The sequence below is a fragment of the Homo sapiens genome, chromosome 19 (assembly GCF_000001405.40).
Source record: "Homo sapiens chromosome 19, GRCh38.p14 Primary Assembly".
NCBI lineage: Eukaryota > Metazoa > Chordata > Mammalia > Primates > Hominidae > Homo > Homo sapiens.
This window is the reverse complement of record NC_000019.10, coordinates 5,983,776-6,001,042: the sequence shown is the minus strand read 5'-3', so window position 1 is coordinate 6,001,042 and position 17,267 is coordinate 5,983,776. Positions and strand designations below refer to the sequence as shown.

Genomic DNA, 17,267 nt, shown 5'->3' with positions numbered 1-17,267 from the left:
AGGGCAGGGGAGCCAAGGCTTCCAGAGGGATTGTCCCCAGGAAAGGCACCAAGATGCCTCCTGCAGTTCTGTCAAGGAGTTTTAGTCTCCCTGAGTACATGGAAAATGTGCATTTTTAAAAAAAGAGCCAGTTATTACCCCAGGAAAAAACAAAGCTGTTCTGTGGCTGACAGGCCCCACGTGACCCAGCGCATGGATGAGCTATGGCCACAGGGCCAAATTGTTATCCCCACCTGTATTATTAGTCCATTCTCATGCTGCTGATACAGACATACCCAACACTGGGTAATTTATAAAGAAAAATAGGTTGAATGGACTCACAGTTCCACCTGGCTGGGGAGGCCTCACAAGCATGGCGGAAGGCCAAGGAAGAGCAAAGGCACATCTTCCATGGCGGCAGGCAAGAGAGCATGTGCAGGGGAACTCGCCTTTATAAAACCATCACATCTCATGAGACTTATTCACTCTCAAGAGAACAGCACAGGAAACATCTGTCTCCATGATTCAATTACCTCCCACCAGGTCCCTCCCACAACACATGGGGATCATTACAATTCAAGGTGAGATTTGGGTGGGGACACAGAGCCAAACCATATCACTGCCCCAGCCCATTGTGCAAATAAAGTTTTATTGGAACCTCAGCCACATGCATTAATTCACAGATCAGCTACAGCTGTCAATGCAAACAAAACAGTTTGACTGTTGGCTACAAAGCTGAAAATATTTACTATCTGGCAAGCGTGAAAACGAGTTTGCCTGGCCGGGCGCAGTGGCTCATGCCTGTAATCCCCACACTTTGGGAGGCTGAGGCAGGTGGATCACTTGGGGTCAGAAGTTCAAGACCAGACTGGCCAACATGGCGAAACCCCATCTCTACTAAAAATATAAAAATTAGTCAGGCGTGGTGGTGGGCACCTGAAATCCCAGCTACTTGGGAGGCTGCAGCAGGAGAATCACTTGAATCCGGGAGGCAGAGGTTGCAATGAGCCAAGACCGTGCTATTTCACTCCAGCCTGGGCAACAGGAGCCAAACTCCATCTCAAGAAAAAAAAAAAAAATAAGAACAAGTTTGCTGACCCCTCAGCTGGCCAGCCAGCACCCCTGTTCTCAGCTGTCTCCTTACACACTCCCCTGGCCACGCTGCCTCAGGGCCTTTGCACCTGCCCCCCTTGCCTGGAACATCTTTCCCCCAGACAGCCACACAGAGAAACCCATCATCCGCAGAGAAATCCCTCACCCCCAGCCTCTGTAAATAAGACGGCCCATTCTTTCCCACTTTGCATGCCCCATGCCCTGCCTTTCTCCTGGCATTGACCGTCACCTGTCATCTGTTCACTTGTCTGTTGTCTGTCTCCTGCATGATCAGGCACGCTACCCGAGTGCCGGGACCTCACTTCTGTTTAAATGCTGGCTCAGTGAATGAATGAGAGGAACCACACGCCTAATAGACTATGCGGCTCTGCCATGGACCTAGCACACCACTGCCACATAACAGAAACACCAGTGTAGCCAGAAATTACAATAAAGCCACACTGGGATAATGAGGGAGGAAGAGCAAGGGAAGAGACAGCGTAGGGATGCCGATGCCAGTCTCCATGGACAGAGGGAAGGTTGCAAGCGGAAGAATTGAGAAGAGCAGAGTGAGCGCAGGACTGAGGTGCCTGCCAGCCAGAGAAGAGCACAGCTCAGAGCTGGAGGGGATCGGGGTCACGTCTGCAAGGTGGGGGTGCTCTTCACAAGGGAGACCGAGACACTGTTCCACTTCATTCTCTTGTTTGCTTGTTTTTTGAGACAGAGTCTCGCTCTGTCACCAGGCTGGAGTGCAATGGTGCGATCTCGGCTCACTGCAACCTCCCCTTCCCGGGTTCAAGCACTTCTCGTGCCTCAGCCTCCTGAATAGCTGGGATTACAGGTGCCCACCACCAGGCCTGGCTGATTTTTGTATTTTTAGTAGAGACGGGGTTTTGCCATGTTGGCCGGGCTGCTCTCAAACTCCTGACCTCAGGTGATCCACCTGCCTCAGCCTCCCAAAGTGCTGCGATTCCAGTCATGAGCCACCACGCCTGGTCTGACTTCATTCTTATGCACGTGCAGTGCAGTCATAAAAAATAAAAATTAGGTTTACGGGATTTATTTCTGTAGCACCCACTAGAAAATGGTAGCATGTGGACTGAGGCCTTGGCTGGTCATCCCCAAGCTCTGGCTGGGCCTCCCTTGGTGGTGGTCGGCCGATGCTCCTACTCTCTGGGAGCTGCGAGCCCATTTGGGAACCCAGAGATACCGGGGTGACCGCAGGCGATGTTCTGGAAATACTTTGGACTGAAGCATCGCACCAGACACCGGGGCTGTGGGGAAGCTGGTTGCAGAGTGCCAGCACCTCATCTGCGTGGGGGAGGCCTTTGGGGAAAGGGGGCTTGGAAGCCAACCTGGGTGGGCCCGGAGGAACAGGAGGGGGCTGGGGGCTTTGCAGCTATGCTTGACACTTAAGGATAGACAGCTTTGGTGGTCTTCATAGTGCGGCTGTCTTTGCCTTTCTCAAGCCTGTGTCTTCTTTTTATCGCTCGATACCGATTAGACGTAACAGAGTTTATGAAAGTATACTTCGAGCCGGGGCAGTTGGGCATTGGGGGCCGCCTGGCTTGTAGGCCAAAGTTTTTAATCAGGTGCCACTGTATATAAGTCCTTTAGGTCTTATAGGAGGACTGAGACATTGTTCCACTTCATTCTTTTTTTTTGAGATGGAGTGTTGCTCTGTCACCCAGGCTAGAGTGCAGCGACATGATCTCGGCTCACTGCAGCCTCCGCCTCCCAGGTTCAAGCAATTTTCCTGCCTTAGCCTCCCGAGTAGCTGGGATTACAGGCATGTGCCACCATGCCTCACTAATTTTTGTATTCTTAGTAGAGATGGCGTTTCACCATGTTGGCCAGGCTGGTCTAGAACTCCTGACCCCAAGTGATCTGCCCGCCCTGGCCTCCCAAAGTGCTGGGATTACAGGTGTGAGCGACCGTGCCTAGCCCCCTTTGGTCTTATACTGATCCTTTAGGTCAGGGGCCGCCTCTCCCAGAAAGAACCAGGTAGTATTTGCAGCCATCCTAGGAAAGACAACATAGGAACGGGCATGACGCGTGCCAGTGAAACTGTCTGTGGACACCAAAATGTGAATTTCATGTAATTTCCACGTGCCACCGAATATAATTATTCTTTTGACTTTTTCCAACCATTTCAAAATGTAAAGCATTGTCAGCACACAGGCTGAGGGCTGGACGCGGACTGGATCTGGGCTGAAGTCTCTGAAACCCCTGCTTTCGCTGACAGAGACTAAAGCACCCTGGCTTTTTGTCTTGTTTTTAGGTGCCTGAAACCACAGGCTGAGGAATGGCGGGAGGTGGCAAGGATACGGGGAAGGTGGGGAAAGGCGCCTCCTGCTGGGGAGACAGGCACCAGCTGCCAGCCTGTGCTCTGATTCGGAGTCCGAAATGTCACTAGAAAGACTCACCAGCTAAGATCCCATCTAGCGCCTGCGCTAGCACCAGCCACAGTTGTTTCCCGCAGCCTGTCGCTTTGGGGCTGACTGCCCATCTCCCTCTCCTGTTCCCCAGGTGGTCTCTGGAACTGAGCGCGCAGGCCGGCCCCACCTGTCCGTCACGTGGGCCCAGGGTCTCGGCAGCCCGTCAGCCCCCGCGTAGGCCTGCACGTCTTAGGATCACTCAGCCTCTGGGTTCCCCAGGGAACGTAGAGCAGGGGGTGTGTTGCTGCCATGAAGTCTGGCCTGGGGCCCGGGTTCCATGCTCCCCTGAGGGTCCCCAGCCTCTGTCCGCTTGTCCCCAGCTCCATGGTGATCCGGGACCTGACCCTGCGCAGCGCTGCCAGCTTCGGCTCCTTCCACCTCATCCGCCTGCTCTACGACGAGTACATGTTCTACCTGGTGGAGCACCGCGTCGCGGAGGCCACCGGAGAGACGCCGATCGCTGTGATGGGAGAGGTGAGGACCCTCCTGGGTGGGACGGCCGGGGCTTGGCCGGGCCTGTGGGGAGAGGGCGGTGTGCTCTGAGCAGCCCAGAGAGAGGACACTCGCAGGTCCCACTGCTCTGCCGCCCGGACAGAGCTGCAGCTCGATAAAGAACAAGCCACAGAAACGGGCCCACCCGTGCCAGGACACAGCAGTGTCTCAAAACATCAAAACCACAAGTTTTATCAGCACTGGGAAGGATTTGGGGCTCTGTCCAAGTTCACAGTCCCCATCGCACCGCTGGCTCTGGAAGGAGGTTGTCCTTGGGCGTCCCGCCACACAGGGGAGGCCTCGGACACACCACCCAGAGTTTTCTGTTTATTGTGGTAACACACACATAGGGAGAGATTTCCACGTGAAAGCGCACAATCAAGTGGCGCTTAGCACATCCACAACGTGCAGCTGGCACCTCTGTCCAGTTCCAGAACATTCCGTCACCCCAAAAGGAAACCCCGTCCCCAGGAGCAGTCATTCCCAAGCTCCTCCTGCAGCACAGCACCCACGCAGCCCCCTCCTGCCTCTGTGGATCGGCCTGTCCTGGACACTTCATAGAAATGGGATCACACACTGTGTGGCCTTTTGTGTCCGGCGTCTGTCACGGAACATGACATCCGCGCTGCGGCCCGGGTCAAAGCCTGGTTCCTCTCCTGGCTGAGTTGTGTTCCGGTGCGTGGCTGGCCGCGCTGTGCTGACCGCTCGTCCCTCCGTGCTGCACGGTCGCTCCCTCTCTGTGGCCGTCGTGAACGGGGCTGCGTGGGCGTGTGTGGGCGGGTGTTTGTGTGCACTCCTGTGTTCAGTTCTTCGGGGTCCACACCTTGGAGTGGACTTGCTGGGCTGCGTGGGATGGCCTCCAGGAAGAAACGAGATGATGCTTGATGAATGGCGGGGTCCCTGCACTCTTACTACCCAGAAGCCACAGCACTCTAAGAGTCGGTGGCCAGGGCCCCGCAACGTGTACAGAAACTGTGGAAGCCGCCTGTTCTCTGCACATTGGCGTGAACGCCGGGCTTTGGGGCAGCCAAGGAGTGGTTTTCCTGCTGTGTACAGACTTCAGGGAGCAAAGATAATTTGGCCCACGGCTCTTCCATGCCACCTTAAAACCCGGAGCAGCCGCACCCAGGGGACTTTGGGAGCCAGCTGCTGTCCCCTCGCTGCCCCGAGTAGTCAGCACCCTCCACCCCCAGCAGCTCCCAGAGGCGGCCTGGACAGGGCACAGGGACCCACCCAGACACCTGGCAGCATCAGAGCCACATTTCAGGGCAGGCCCCAGCTGCTTCACTGTGAATGGAGGACGTGGCTCAAGGCAAGGTTGGGCCGGCATCCCCCGAGCCCCCAAACAGCAACTGCCGCCCCTCTGCAGGCGCCCCTGACTCCAGGTTTCTCTTTCAGTTCAACGATCTCGCCTCTCTGTCGCTGACGCTGCTCGACAAAGGTAGGTGCGTCTGCGGCTTTCCCACCACGACCCTCCCAGGAGGGTGGTACTCCTGGCCGTGGCCTGTCTGCCCCATCTCATGATGAACAGGTGGAAATGCGGGCAGCCCCTTGGGGGGTGAGGGCCCTGGGATCTGTCATCCGGACAGTGGGTGATGCCTGAGCAGCAGGTGACACTGCAGACTGGCTCGGCTGGGGCTCAGACTGCCGCTGGCCTCTGGGTAGCCGCTGCCCAGGGACCTCAGCACCAGGCCCAGACTAGGCAGCCCCTGGTCTCCTGCGCCCACGCCCAGCAGGAGAGTGGGACAGGCAGGCCAGAGGGACCCCCGGGCCCCGTCTCTGTCCCATGCGGGTGGGAGGACCCCAGAGGCCCCAGCCCTGTGGGGAGCAGGCCCCAGGCCCGTCGGCGCTGGGAAAGGGAGGCACAGGGCAGAGGCTCTTTCGCCTGGCCCGAGCTGGGGGCACCTCTGGGTAACGGCAGGTGGGGAGGACAGGTCAGCCTGGAGCAGAGGCCGAGGTGGGGTCCACAGGCTGCCATGTATCCTCGGTGCCCTGCCTGGCGTGCCGGAGCAGTTCTCGGAACGTGCACTTCCTTCTCTCCCTCTCGTGCCCTCCTGATGATGGACACTGACCCTACCCCTCCCTCCGCAGATGACATGGGCGATGAGCAGCGTGGCAGCGAGGCGGGCCCAGACGCCCGCAGCCTGGGTGAGCCCCTGGTAAAGCGGGAGCGCAGTGACCCCAACCACTCCCTGCAGGGCATCTAGCAGCCCCGGCCGGCGCCTCCTCGAGGTTCCAAAAGATGCCGCCTGGTCACTCTGGGAACCTGGATTTCACCGGCTCCACCAAATTAGTGCCTCTTAGATGATGTGATGTTTACTTTGACTCAAGCGGGGGCTCCCGGGGTCAGTGTTCAAGAAGGAAAGCAGTTGTTGAAGCTACAGAAGCCCAGGCCAGGGCTCCCACTGGCTGTAGCTGTGCTCTGGGTCCCCAGGTCCCTGCGCAGCCACCAGGGCCCCACCAGACCATGGGTTCCTTATTCTGGACAAACCCTCCTCTGCTGGAACCCTGGACTTTGGCCCCAGTCCCTTTAAGAGCTGAAAGGGCTGTGCTGAGAGCACTGGCCTCTGCACTCAACTGGAACCAATTTTCACCATGATTTTAAAAATTAAAAAAACCTGGCAGAGCCCGACTAGAAAGGGACGGCCTCTCCCCTCCTACCTGCCACCGCTGGGGAGGCACAGAGCTCGCCAGCGTCCCTGGAGTCCCCTCAGGAATGGAAAGTGGAGTGCCCTTGTCTGGTAGCACCATGTGGGAGGGACCCAGCTGGGCGCAGCGCCCTGTGGCCTTTTAGATCCAGACCTCCCTGCCGGATGCCCCGAGGCGGGAGGCCGGCTGTGCTGCAGGAACCCATCTCCAGATGCCAAAGGACTTGAGGGGCAGCTGACAATCGCTGTGTCCCGGCAGATCCGCAGCTCGAAAAAGAACAAGCCACAGAAACGGGCTCGCTCGTGCCAGGACACAGCAGTGTCTTTCAAAAAATCAAAACCAGAAGTTTTATCAGCAGCAGGAAGGATGTGGGACTCTGTCCAAGTTCACCGTCACCATCAAGCCACTGGCTGTGGAAGGAGTTTGTCCAACAGGGTCAGTGTCACAGCCACAACTTCAGAAAGCAGCCATCCCGCGTGTCGTCCAAACAGCAGTGCCTGCGTCCCGCTCCACGGAGTCTTCCAGAACACCTCCCTCTGAACTAATCCCGGAGCACCCCACCCCCAGCGAGTCCCACCTGGACCTCTTCAAAGTCAAAACTCTTCTCTCGGGACAAACAAATATTCGGGACTTTCGAAGCCCTGAACTTGAGACACCAAGTTTGTCTCCATGGAAACACGTAGCCGCTGCAGTTGGACAGCTGCGTGCTGGAGTTCTGTCCCCAAACCAACTGCAGAGAAGAAAGACGAGCCTCGGCCCAGGACGCGATTTCTAACGAAATGCAATAGTTTTCTCTTTTTGGAAAAATGTTTATACCAATAGTTTTGTGCGCTAATTGTTATTAGAACGTTTCTTATGAATGTGTACATTGCAGTATATTCAGTCCCAAATGTTTTGTTCTCATTCACACAGAAGGTACTAATGTCAGCTCACGTGGCCTTTAAAAACCTACTTCCCCGCCCGCAGGAGCTCAGAGCATCGCTGGGCCTGCGCCAGAGTGAGGGGTGCAGGAAGACAAAGACGCGTGCTCACTTTAGAAACGAAAAGCTGGGAATAATCACACTGTTTGTCTGGTCGTATAGCCCAAACCTTAGTTGAAATCAGACAGAAAGAATGTCTTTAAAATATACATCTCCTCTCCTTGGAGACACTGAAGCTCACAGTTAACGGATTGTAATGCCCGGCTTTTCCTCACTCCTGGTAACCAATACAAGCTGGTTTCTGCCTTAGGCTCTGGCCTGTCTTTCCGATCCACGAGGAGGAACAGAGGTGGCAGCGAAGCCACAAGCCTCTCAGGCCTGGTCTCATTTTTCATAGCAGTAAACACACTGAGCGTGCCCATTTTTGGACTCACTGTCCACACTCTAGGCCCTGTCCCCCCGCCGTGGGACACCAGCCTGCCGGGCCTGCCCCACTCAAGACCCAGAGGGGAAACCACAGAGGTGCCCCCTGCACTTGCCTGCGGGCTCCCTGGGGATGTTCTAGTGCCTTCCGGAAGGAGCCTGGGCCCCTTACTTCCTTAGCAAGGCCTATCCTGAGCCAGTGATGGCGCAGAAACCGTTCTTTGTCCAGGATGGTCAATGGCTCCTGTTTACACTTTGGGTTTTTTTCTGTTGTTTGTTTGTTTTTTTAAGAGACGGTCTCATTCTATCACCTCGGCTGGCGTGCAGTGGCACTATCATAGCTCACTACACCCTCAACCTCTTGAGCTCAGGTGATCCTCCCACCTCAGCCTCCCCAAGTAGGTGGGACTATAGGCGTGCGCCACCACATCCAGCTAATTTTTTTTTTTTTTTTTTTTAGAGATGGGGGTCTTCCTGTGTTGCCCAGGCTGGACTCAAACTCCTTGGCTCAAGCGATCCTCCCACCTTGGCCTCCCAGTGTGCTGAGATTACAGGCGTGAGCCACCGCCCCAGCCTCCTGTTTACATTTGTTACAGGCTAGACCCACTCGGATCTAGCGGAGGAAGCGGGTGTGCCAGTCTCGGATGCGAACCCCTGGTTGTCCGCAGGGTTTACTCGGGCCAAACTTCAGAATCATTGAGAATCAGTGCATGAGCTTGCTCAAAAATGGCCGATTCCTGGACCCATTTCACAAGGAGCATGACTCGGTGAGATTCGGGTAGGAGCCAGGAAGCGTGTTGTTGCTGCCATTCCCTCTCAGGGGACTGTGGTGCGGGGCTATAGGACTTTGAAGAAACCCTACAGAGGAGAGCAATGGGCTCAGGAACCAGGCAGGGCCCACCTGCGGGAGGGAGGGTGGCCCACAGAGGCTAGTACAGTTGCTGGTCAGCCAGGCCAGTTTCCCGAGTGCCAGGCCAGTGCCCCGTATGCTCCCAGGGACACTCGGCCTTTGCCCCAGCCCAGGCCTCTCTGTCTCAGGTGACACTAGAATCGCCTCTCACTTCCCTGGGCTGGGACTCCAGGACCCCACTGTGTCCTGACGGTGCCAACATCAGCCAGGAAATCCACTCGCCCCACCCCCTGCTGGGTCACAATTTCAGACATTCCTCCAGCTGAGACCCCTGAGCCAAATTAGGCAAGTGCCAACTCACCCACCTCCCCAGCCCCTGAAGAGCCAGGCCCAGTGTGGACTGCAGGGCCCAGAGTAGGAGGCCCGAGCCCTGCCCATGGGGCCTGAGAGGCTGGGGAGAGCGGGAGCTCAGAGCATGGGGGATGGCGCCCCAGGAAAGAGGAGCCCGCTTGAGGTCCGCAGGCCATCATGTGCCTCCAAAGCCCTCTGGGTAGGTCCCCAGGGTGCAGCCGCCTCAGAAAAAAAAAAAGGGGAACCTTGGTCTTACCAAGCACCTCTAGGGGGTACTGGCCATAATCACAGCAGGCTCCACACTAGACACTTCTATCCCATCTCCTATTTTTGATGACCTAAGGTAGATGTAATCCCCATTGTACACATGGGAAAAGCAAGGCTTCTGGCTGGAATGCAGATGTGATGGCTGGAGCACGGCAGCCACAGTGGACCTCAAGGTGGAAGCCCCATGATAAGGATGGAAAAGCAATGAGTCAGAAGGAGCCTGGGTCCCTGGTGATGATGGAACTGCCATTACAGCCCTGACCTCCAGACAGACGTCAGCAAGGAGGGGTGGGGAGGCCCAGAGATGTCCCTGCCTTCACAAACTTTCTGGTGGCAGGAACTCCCTTGCAAGATGGGAGGGGACCCCAGACACTGCAACTGCCAGCGTGCTAAGATGGGGCAGATGTGGGCCAGGCGCGGTGGCTCACCCCTGTAATCCCAGCACTTTGGGAGGCCGAGGCGGGTGGATCACGAGGTCAGGAGATTGAGACCATCCTGGCTAACATGGTGAAACCCCATCTCTACTAAAAATACAAAAATTAGCCGGGTGTGATGGCACACTCCTGTAGTCCCAGCTACTGGGGAGGCTGAGGCAGGAGAATCGCTTGAACCCAGGAGGAGGAGCTTGCAGTAAGCCAAGATCACGTCACTACACTCCAGCCTGGGTGACAGAGCGAGACTCCGTCTCAAAAAAACAAAAAAAAAAAAAAAAAAGAAAGGGGAGATGCTCCAGCTGGAGTGCCCCCCACCCCCGCCAACCGCCGCCACCCCTGTTTTCCTCCTGCCTCTGGCTGCTGCCCCTCTGCGCCTGGGTCCTGCCCACTCCTCTCCTCCTTCTACCCCCTCAGTCACCTCAGCCACTCCCACAATGGAAACACCCTCCAGGAGCTGCTGACTTCACCTCTGCCCAGAGCTCCTGGGTGCCTGGCCCTCGGCAGAGCAAGACAGCATTCCGGCATCTGGCCGTCCAGACCTCCTCCCCAAGTCTCCATCACAGCCTTGGCAGCACCGTCCGTCCCCGCATTGCCCCGCCCCGCCCCTTGGCCCTGCTCCTCAAAATGGCCGCCAACTGAGCGCTTCTCCCCTTCCTCTTTGCTACTCCCCAGCTCCTCCTCGGCCGGGAGAGGCAGAGTGGCAGGGATTAGACTGCACAGGTTTGAGAATCAGCTCCACGGTCATTCACTGTGCCCTCAAGTAAATTACCTTCATCGGTTTCTCCCACTGGAAAAGAGACATTAAAAATACCTCACGGTGTTGTGAGAAAGAAGGTCAACATACAGAAAGCACGGGACTAAGCCTTCAAGAGCTGTTTCTACCCCTCGGCACTGCAGATACCGCAGATGGTGGGGGATCAGATAATTCTCTGGGGGGGCCCGTACTGGGCACTGCAGGGTGCTGAGCAGCATCCCTGGCCTCCACCCACTCCCTGCCAGGAGCACTACAGCCCAATCCTAACAAGCAAAAATGTCTCTGGACACTGCCAGTGTCGCCTGGGAGACACCTTCCTCTTTAGCACTCACCTTGATTGGCACTTCTTTCGGGAAGCCTTCCTGGATGCTCTCTGGGTAGATTAGGGTCACTTAGACCCAACTTCCCCTACCATACTTTATAGTCATTGTTTGCAAATCTGTCTTTCCCATAAGCTCTGCGAGTGAGTAGCTATCATTTGCCTTGTTGAAATGGACTTCCCAAATCTATCACCGGGCATGCTCAGCAAATATTGAGGGTGTGAGGGAGTGAGGAGGGCCTCCCAGAGAAGGCGTTTTTTACGGTGATGTTGGGAAGGAAGGTGCTGTGCCATGGAGGAGAGAAAAATATCCAGAGGAGTGACAAGGAATTCCAAAGAAACTGGAATTCAGGCAGGAGGCCACCAGAGGTTTTTGATGTAATCAAAGCTGGGCTTTAGAAAGATGTATTCGGGCAGGGTGGATTCACAGGAAGAAACAGAAGCAGGGGGGTCAATTAGGTGCTTGTTAAAATCGTACAAGTGAGGGGGAGAGTTGTGGCTGTGGGGTGGAGCAGGGGCACACAGGAGCCCTGTGGAGATCAAATTGGTGAGTTATACCCGATTTGGTTTGTTTTTTGTGTGTGTGGTTTGGTGTTTTGTTTTGTTTTGCTTTGCTTTGTTTGAGACAGAGTCTTGCTGTTGCCCAGGCTGGAGTGCAGTGGCACAATCTCAGCTCACTGCAACCTCCACCTCCTGGGTTTAATCGATTCTCCCCCTCAGCCTCCTGAGTAGCTGGGATTACAGGAGTGTGTCACCGTGCCTGGCTAATTTTTGTATTTTTAATAGAGATAGGATGTTACCATGTTGGCCAGACTGGTCTCAAACTCCTGACTTCAGGTGATCCGCTCACCTCAGCCTCCCAAAGTGCTGGGATTACAGGCATGAGCCATTGCGCTTGGCTTTTTTTTTCTCTTTCTTTTTCTAATGAACCAGGATAAAAATCTAACTAAAACATCAGGAGTGATGGTGTAATAAGGATAAATATAGCTTTGCAAAATTTTCATTTCAGTGTATGTGTGAGTGCACATATACACATGCATTTATGGTATTGGGCTGCAATGTAAAATGCATATGCATAGGTCTCCAAAGCCACAGTATCATATATGCATGAGTATACGTGCACTCACACAGAGGCTCTCAGGAGGGCTGAGAGTTGTTCTCAGCTTATTGTGAGATCATGGGCCCCTCCTGGAATCCTGTCATGGACATTTTGTGGGGTTTTGCTGTCCAGCATCCATCCTGCCTTCTTTTGGAATAACACCCTGATTCTCTTGGAAGAGTGACCGTCCTTTTGTGGCTTTAAATACTGTCTCTGTGTGGGTGGCTCTCACATATTGAGTGAGGCGGTTCCAGGTGGGAAGGGAGCAAATGAGCTCAGTGTGTTGGGGGTGGGGGGAGCAGTGAGGAGGCTGGTGTCATGGGCACAGAGTGAATGGCAGGGCAGGAGGTTGAGGAAGGCTGCAGAGTCATGGGATGGGGGCTTCCTAGGTCCCGGGGAGGAGCTGGGATTCCACTGGCTGCCTCCACTTGGATGTCTCAAATGGCATCTCATACCACTGGCTGGGCACACAGAGCCCAATATGTATTTGTTGCTCAATAAATATTTGATGGAAGGGCCAGGCACGGTGCCTCAAGCCTGTCATCCCAGCACTTTGGGAGGCCAAGGCAGGCAGATCACCTGAGGTCAGGAGTTCAAGTCTAGCCTGGCCAACATGGTGAAACCCCCTTCTCTACTAAAAATACAAAAATTAGTTGGACATGGTGGCGGTGCCTATAAATCCCAGCTCCTTAGGAGGCTGAGGCAGTAGAATCGCTTGAATCCGGGAGGCAGAGGTTGCAGTGAGCCAAGATCGTACCACTGCACTCCAGCCTGGGCAACAGAGTGAGATTCCGTCTCAAAAAAAAAAAAGAAAGAAAATATTTATGGAGGAATGAATTTGATTGGGGGTGAGCACAAATTAACGTACCGTACCCTGCTGACCCCATCCAACACTTTCTCCTTAGACTCTGAACCCTGCGTTGAAGGGTGAGACTGAAAGCAGTCAAAGATCAGGCATCCTGGGGGAGACACCCGGCGCATTGTCCTCAGTGATTTTTGCTTCTAAGACCTGTTGAAACTGCTGGTTGCTTCTCCTTTCTTTTTGATCTCATGAATATCCTCATAACCTTCCAGTAAATTCCCCCTTGGCTTACATCTTCCAGAACTGCTTTCGGGGGGTTGCAATCAGTCTCCAAACAGGTACACCCTCAGCACCCAGGAATTTTCTAGCCAGTCTCAGAAGGGGATTCTCAGACCTCGTGAAGCCCTCCCGAGGTGACAGCCCCAGTTTTCAAGGTGGGGCATCCATACGGCTTGGCAACAGCAGCAGCAGGCTGGGAGCGAGGTGCAACTAAGACTCCCTACCTCCACTTCCACGACCTGGCTCATGGAAGACACCAGAACCCCAGCAGATGCGGAGCTTACCGGTAAGTTTAGTTTCCCAGAAGGTAGCCAACTGCCCTTTTTCCTGGAGTTGTTTTGATTCCTCTCAAGTCTCTGCTGCCCCCCAGTGGTCACTCTGTGACACAGCGTTTTCCTTTTCACAGGGGACACAAAGTTGGATTTTGCCCAGAAGCCTGGCTGATTTGTTTACTTATTTGCAACGATGCATGATAAGAAAGATCAAAAACAAGTGAGTGAGTGAGCTAATTTCCTTCCTTCCCTTCTCCTCCTCCCCTTCTCTTCCTCGAATATTTCCTATTTGTTTACAAAGGCCCAAAATATCCCCCCAACATAACAATGGGAAAAAGTCACCTGGCAGATACCATTTAAAGCAAGCGATTGGACGGGCGCGGTGGCTCACGTCTGTAATCTCAACACTTTGGGAGGCCAAGGCAGGCAGATCACTTGAGGTCACAAGTTCAAGACCAGCCTGGCCAACATGGTGAAACTCCATCTCTACTAATAATACAAAAATTGGCCTGGCGTGGTGGTGCGCACCTGTAGTCCCAGCTACTCAGGAGGCTGATGCATGAGAATCGCTTGAACCTGGTAGGCAGAGGTTGCAGTGAGCCAAGATTGCACCATTGCACTCCAGCCTGGGCAACAGTGAGAGACTCTGTCTCAAAAAAAAAAAAAAAAAAAAAAAGGTATAAATCGCCATCATGTGCCCTTGCTAGGATGCATTGACACAGACACACATCGCTTCTGCGTAATCCCTGCCAAAAACACTTAACCTGAGTTTCACTGTGAGGAAACATCAAACAAACCCAAAGTTAAGGGGCATTCTACCAAATGATTGGGCAGTACTCGTTAGAAATGTCGTTGTCAAGAAAAGGTATATAAAAAATGGAGGAAATGATCCAGACTAAAGGAAACTAAGGAGAAATACCTACATGCAAGACAGGATCCAGGACTAAATCCTGGAACAGAAAAGGGACACTAGAGCTGAACAGAGGAAATGTGAATAAGGCTTGCACATTAGTGAATAGTACTGTATCAGTGCGAATGTCCTGATTTTGATCAGGATGTGAATATCTGAGGAAGCTGATGGAGGCTATATGGAACTCTTTGTACTATTTTTGCAACTTTTTTTAAGTCTGAATTTATTTCAAATGTATTTATTGTAAAATTTAATTTATTTAATTTAAAATAAAGAGGCTGGGTGCCGCGACTCATGCCTGTAATCCCAGCACTTTGGGCGGGCAGATCACTTGAGGTCAGGAGTTCGAGACCAGCCTGGCCAAGGTGGGCAGATCACTTTAGGTCAGGAGTTCAAGACCAGCGTGACCAACATAGTGAAACCCAGTCTCTACTAAAAATACAAAAATTAGCCGGGCGTGGTGGCGGGCACCTGTAATCCCAGCTACTCGGGATACTGAGGCAGGAGAATTGCTTGAACCCGGGAGGTGGAGGTTGCAGTGAGCAGAGATTATGCCACTGCACTCCAGCCTGGGTGACAGAGGGAGACTCCATCTCAACAAAAGAAGGAGGAGGAGGAGGAGGAGGAGGAGGAGAAAAAGCAGAGTTGATCAGGAGATAGGAATGTGTCACCGAGCAAAGTGAAGGCTTGGGAACCCGGCTGTGGCACTCTGGGCTCTCCACCTCTCAGCACGGCTGACCTGGTTGCAGATCAGGTCATGTGAAGGAGAATGTGGCCCTACCCCATGTTAACAGGATCCAGCCCAGCTTTCTTCCAGAGAGAAGCAATTCCAGTCCCAAATCCCTGGCTGATGTGCCTAGTTTGGGTCAGGGGTTCCTGCCATCATGGGCAAGGGGCCACCATTGGTCACATCCGACATCCTGTTGTCAGGAACTTGAGGCCGTGGGTTGAGGGAGAACGGGGAAGGCAGATGAACTAATAACGCATTCATGATGAAGTCCCTCCAACCCCACCTGGCTCCAAGCTCCTTAAGGGCAGGAATTATACTTGATTGATCTCTGGGTACTCAACCTCAGTGTGGGCTGGGCACAGAGCAGGCACTGAAGCACTGCCCCAGGAGTTAAAGAAACCTATGACTAATAGAAATTCCTGAGTTTGCTGGATAAGAAAAGAAACAACTTACTGAAACTCCCTCTGCTTGTAAGATAACAAAACTGGCTGAAGTCAGTTGGAACAATATGGCGGACTGGAGTTTGCACAGAACGAGCTTGCTGATGTCATAGCCTCAATTTCTACCGCATGGTTTAGACTAATGCCCCCCGAACTTGCACATGCGCTCCATGAGGGATGAAGAGATAACTGCGCATGCCAGAGGACTTTCCAGACTTCCTATTCCTTTCTACCAGTCACCTACCTACTAATGCCACAGTCTACCCCCTACACCTCTTCTAATAAAGGTATTGACTGCCTTAGGGTGGGCGTGGTGTCTCAGGCCTACAATCCCAGCCCTTTGGGAGGCAGAGGGAAGAGGATTGCTCGATGCCAAGAGTTTGAGACCAGCCTGGGCAACATAGCCAGACCCCATCTCCACACACGCAAAAAGTATGGTCTTAAAGCTAGCACGGGGAGACAGCTTTGAGTTGGACTCCCATCTGCTTGTTAGTCAACTTGCAATAAAAAGCTTTTCTCACAAACCCATGTCCTAGCATTGGCTCCTAGCGCGTCAGACAGCAAAGCTCCTTTTGCTCCATAAAAACACATGCTGGCTCCCTGCCCATGATGGGAAGATGAAAACTTAATTGCAGCTGTGAAGACCCCTTTTCCTGAAGCCCAGCTGCAGAAGCCATCGTCCTCTTTGGCTGCAGAGGAGAGAGGGACATAAGTCTTCAGAGCTCAGCCTGGGTTCAGAGGCTCCTCAGAGACCTGTATCCTGGTGAGCCAAGGAGGAAGCTGACAGCACAGAGGCCAATCAGCAGTTAAGGGCAAGTCATTTGAAGCCCTCCCATTTCCTGCCTCCAACCCCTGCAATTAGGAGAAAACCCTAACTCCTCACTGCAGCCTCCAAGGCCCTGCACGCTCCCTCCCTGAGCTCATCTCCACCACCTCTCTTTTTGGTCACTCGGCTCTAGCCACACCGAGCTCCTTACCATGTGAAATTATTCCCTCAGCTGGGCGTGGTGGCTCACGCCTGTAATCCCAGCACTTTGGGAGGCTGAGGCAGGAGGATCACTTGAGGTCAGGAGTTTGAGACCAGCCTGGCCAACATGGTGAAACCCCGTCTCTACTAAAAATACAAACATTAGCTGGGCATGGTGGTAGGCGCCTGTAATCCCAGCTACTCGGGAGGCTGAGGCAGGAGAATCGCTTGAACCCGGGAGGCAGAGGTTGCAGCGAGCCGAGATCCTGCCACTGCACTCCAGCTTGGGAGACACAGTGAGACTCCATCTCAAAACAAACAAGCAAACAAAAAGTATTCCCTCTTTCTGTCACTGTGTCATAGCATGCTGTTTTATTTTCTTTGTAGCACCCATCACTATCTCAAATTATTTTGCTTACCTGTCTACTGTTAGTCTCCCCACAAAAGGCTGCAAATCTCCGTGAAGTCAGGGCCTGTCTAGTTCATCCCGGGAATCCAACATGTGCCTGATGCCTCATAGGTGTGGTGGATACATACTACTGTGTAATGAACATCCCTAAAGCTTAGTGGCTGATAATGGCAATTCTTTATCTTTCGTAGTTTCTGTGGGTGAGGAATGGGAAGGGCTAGGCTGGGTGGTTCTGACGGGGCTCAGGGTCTCTCATGCAATTACAGTCAGCGGCTGCCGCAGGAGCTGTTGGGGTTTGGCTGGGCATCTCTTGGCCAGGGCCTTGCCATGAGATCTGTGTTTCAGCTTCCTTACAGCATGGCAGCCGCAGGGCAGTTGGACTGCTCACATG

General features: G+C 53.8%; 1 protein-coding gene and 1 long non-coding RNA gene across 7 annotated transcripts in view; one reads left to right on the top strand and one right to left on the bottom strand.

Annotated features, from left to right (window-relative positions):
• The window catches only part of RFX2 (regulatory factor X2), a 117,337-nt gene extending 109,458 nt beyond the window's left edge, over positions 1-7,879 (top strand). For all 6 annotated transcript variants that reach the window (XM_047439198.1, XM_017027107.2, NM_134433.3 and 3 more), the window contains 3 exons: positions 3,830-3,983; positions 5,400-5,442; positions 6,093-7,879. In XM_047439198.1, the coding sequence (XP_047295154.1) occupies positions 3,830-3,983; positions 5,400-5,442; positions 6,093-6,208 (313 nt within the window). In that variant the 3' untranslated portion in view covers positions 6,209-7,879. The remainder of the gene's footprint in view (positions 1-3,829; positions 3,984-5,399; positions 5,443-6,092) is intronic.
• Positions 1-17,267, bottom strand: part of RANBP3-DT (RANBP3 divergent transcript) — a 41,961-nt gene that overhangs the window by 19,321 nt on the left and 5,373 nt on the right. The gene's annotated exons all lie outside the window — the stretch shown is intronic.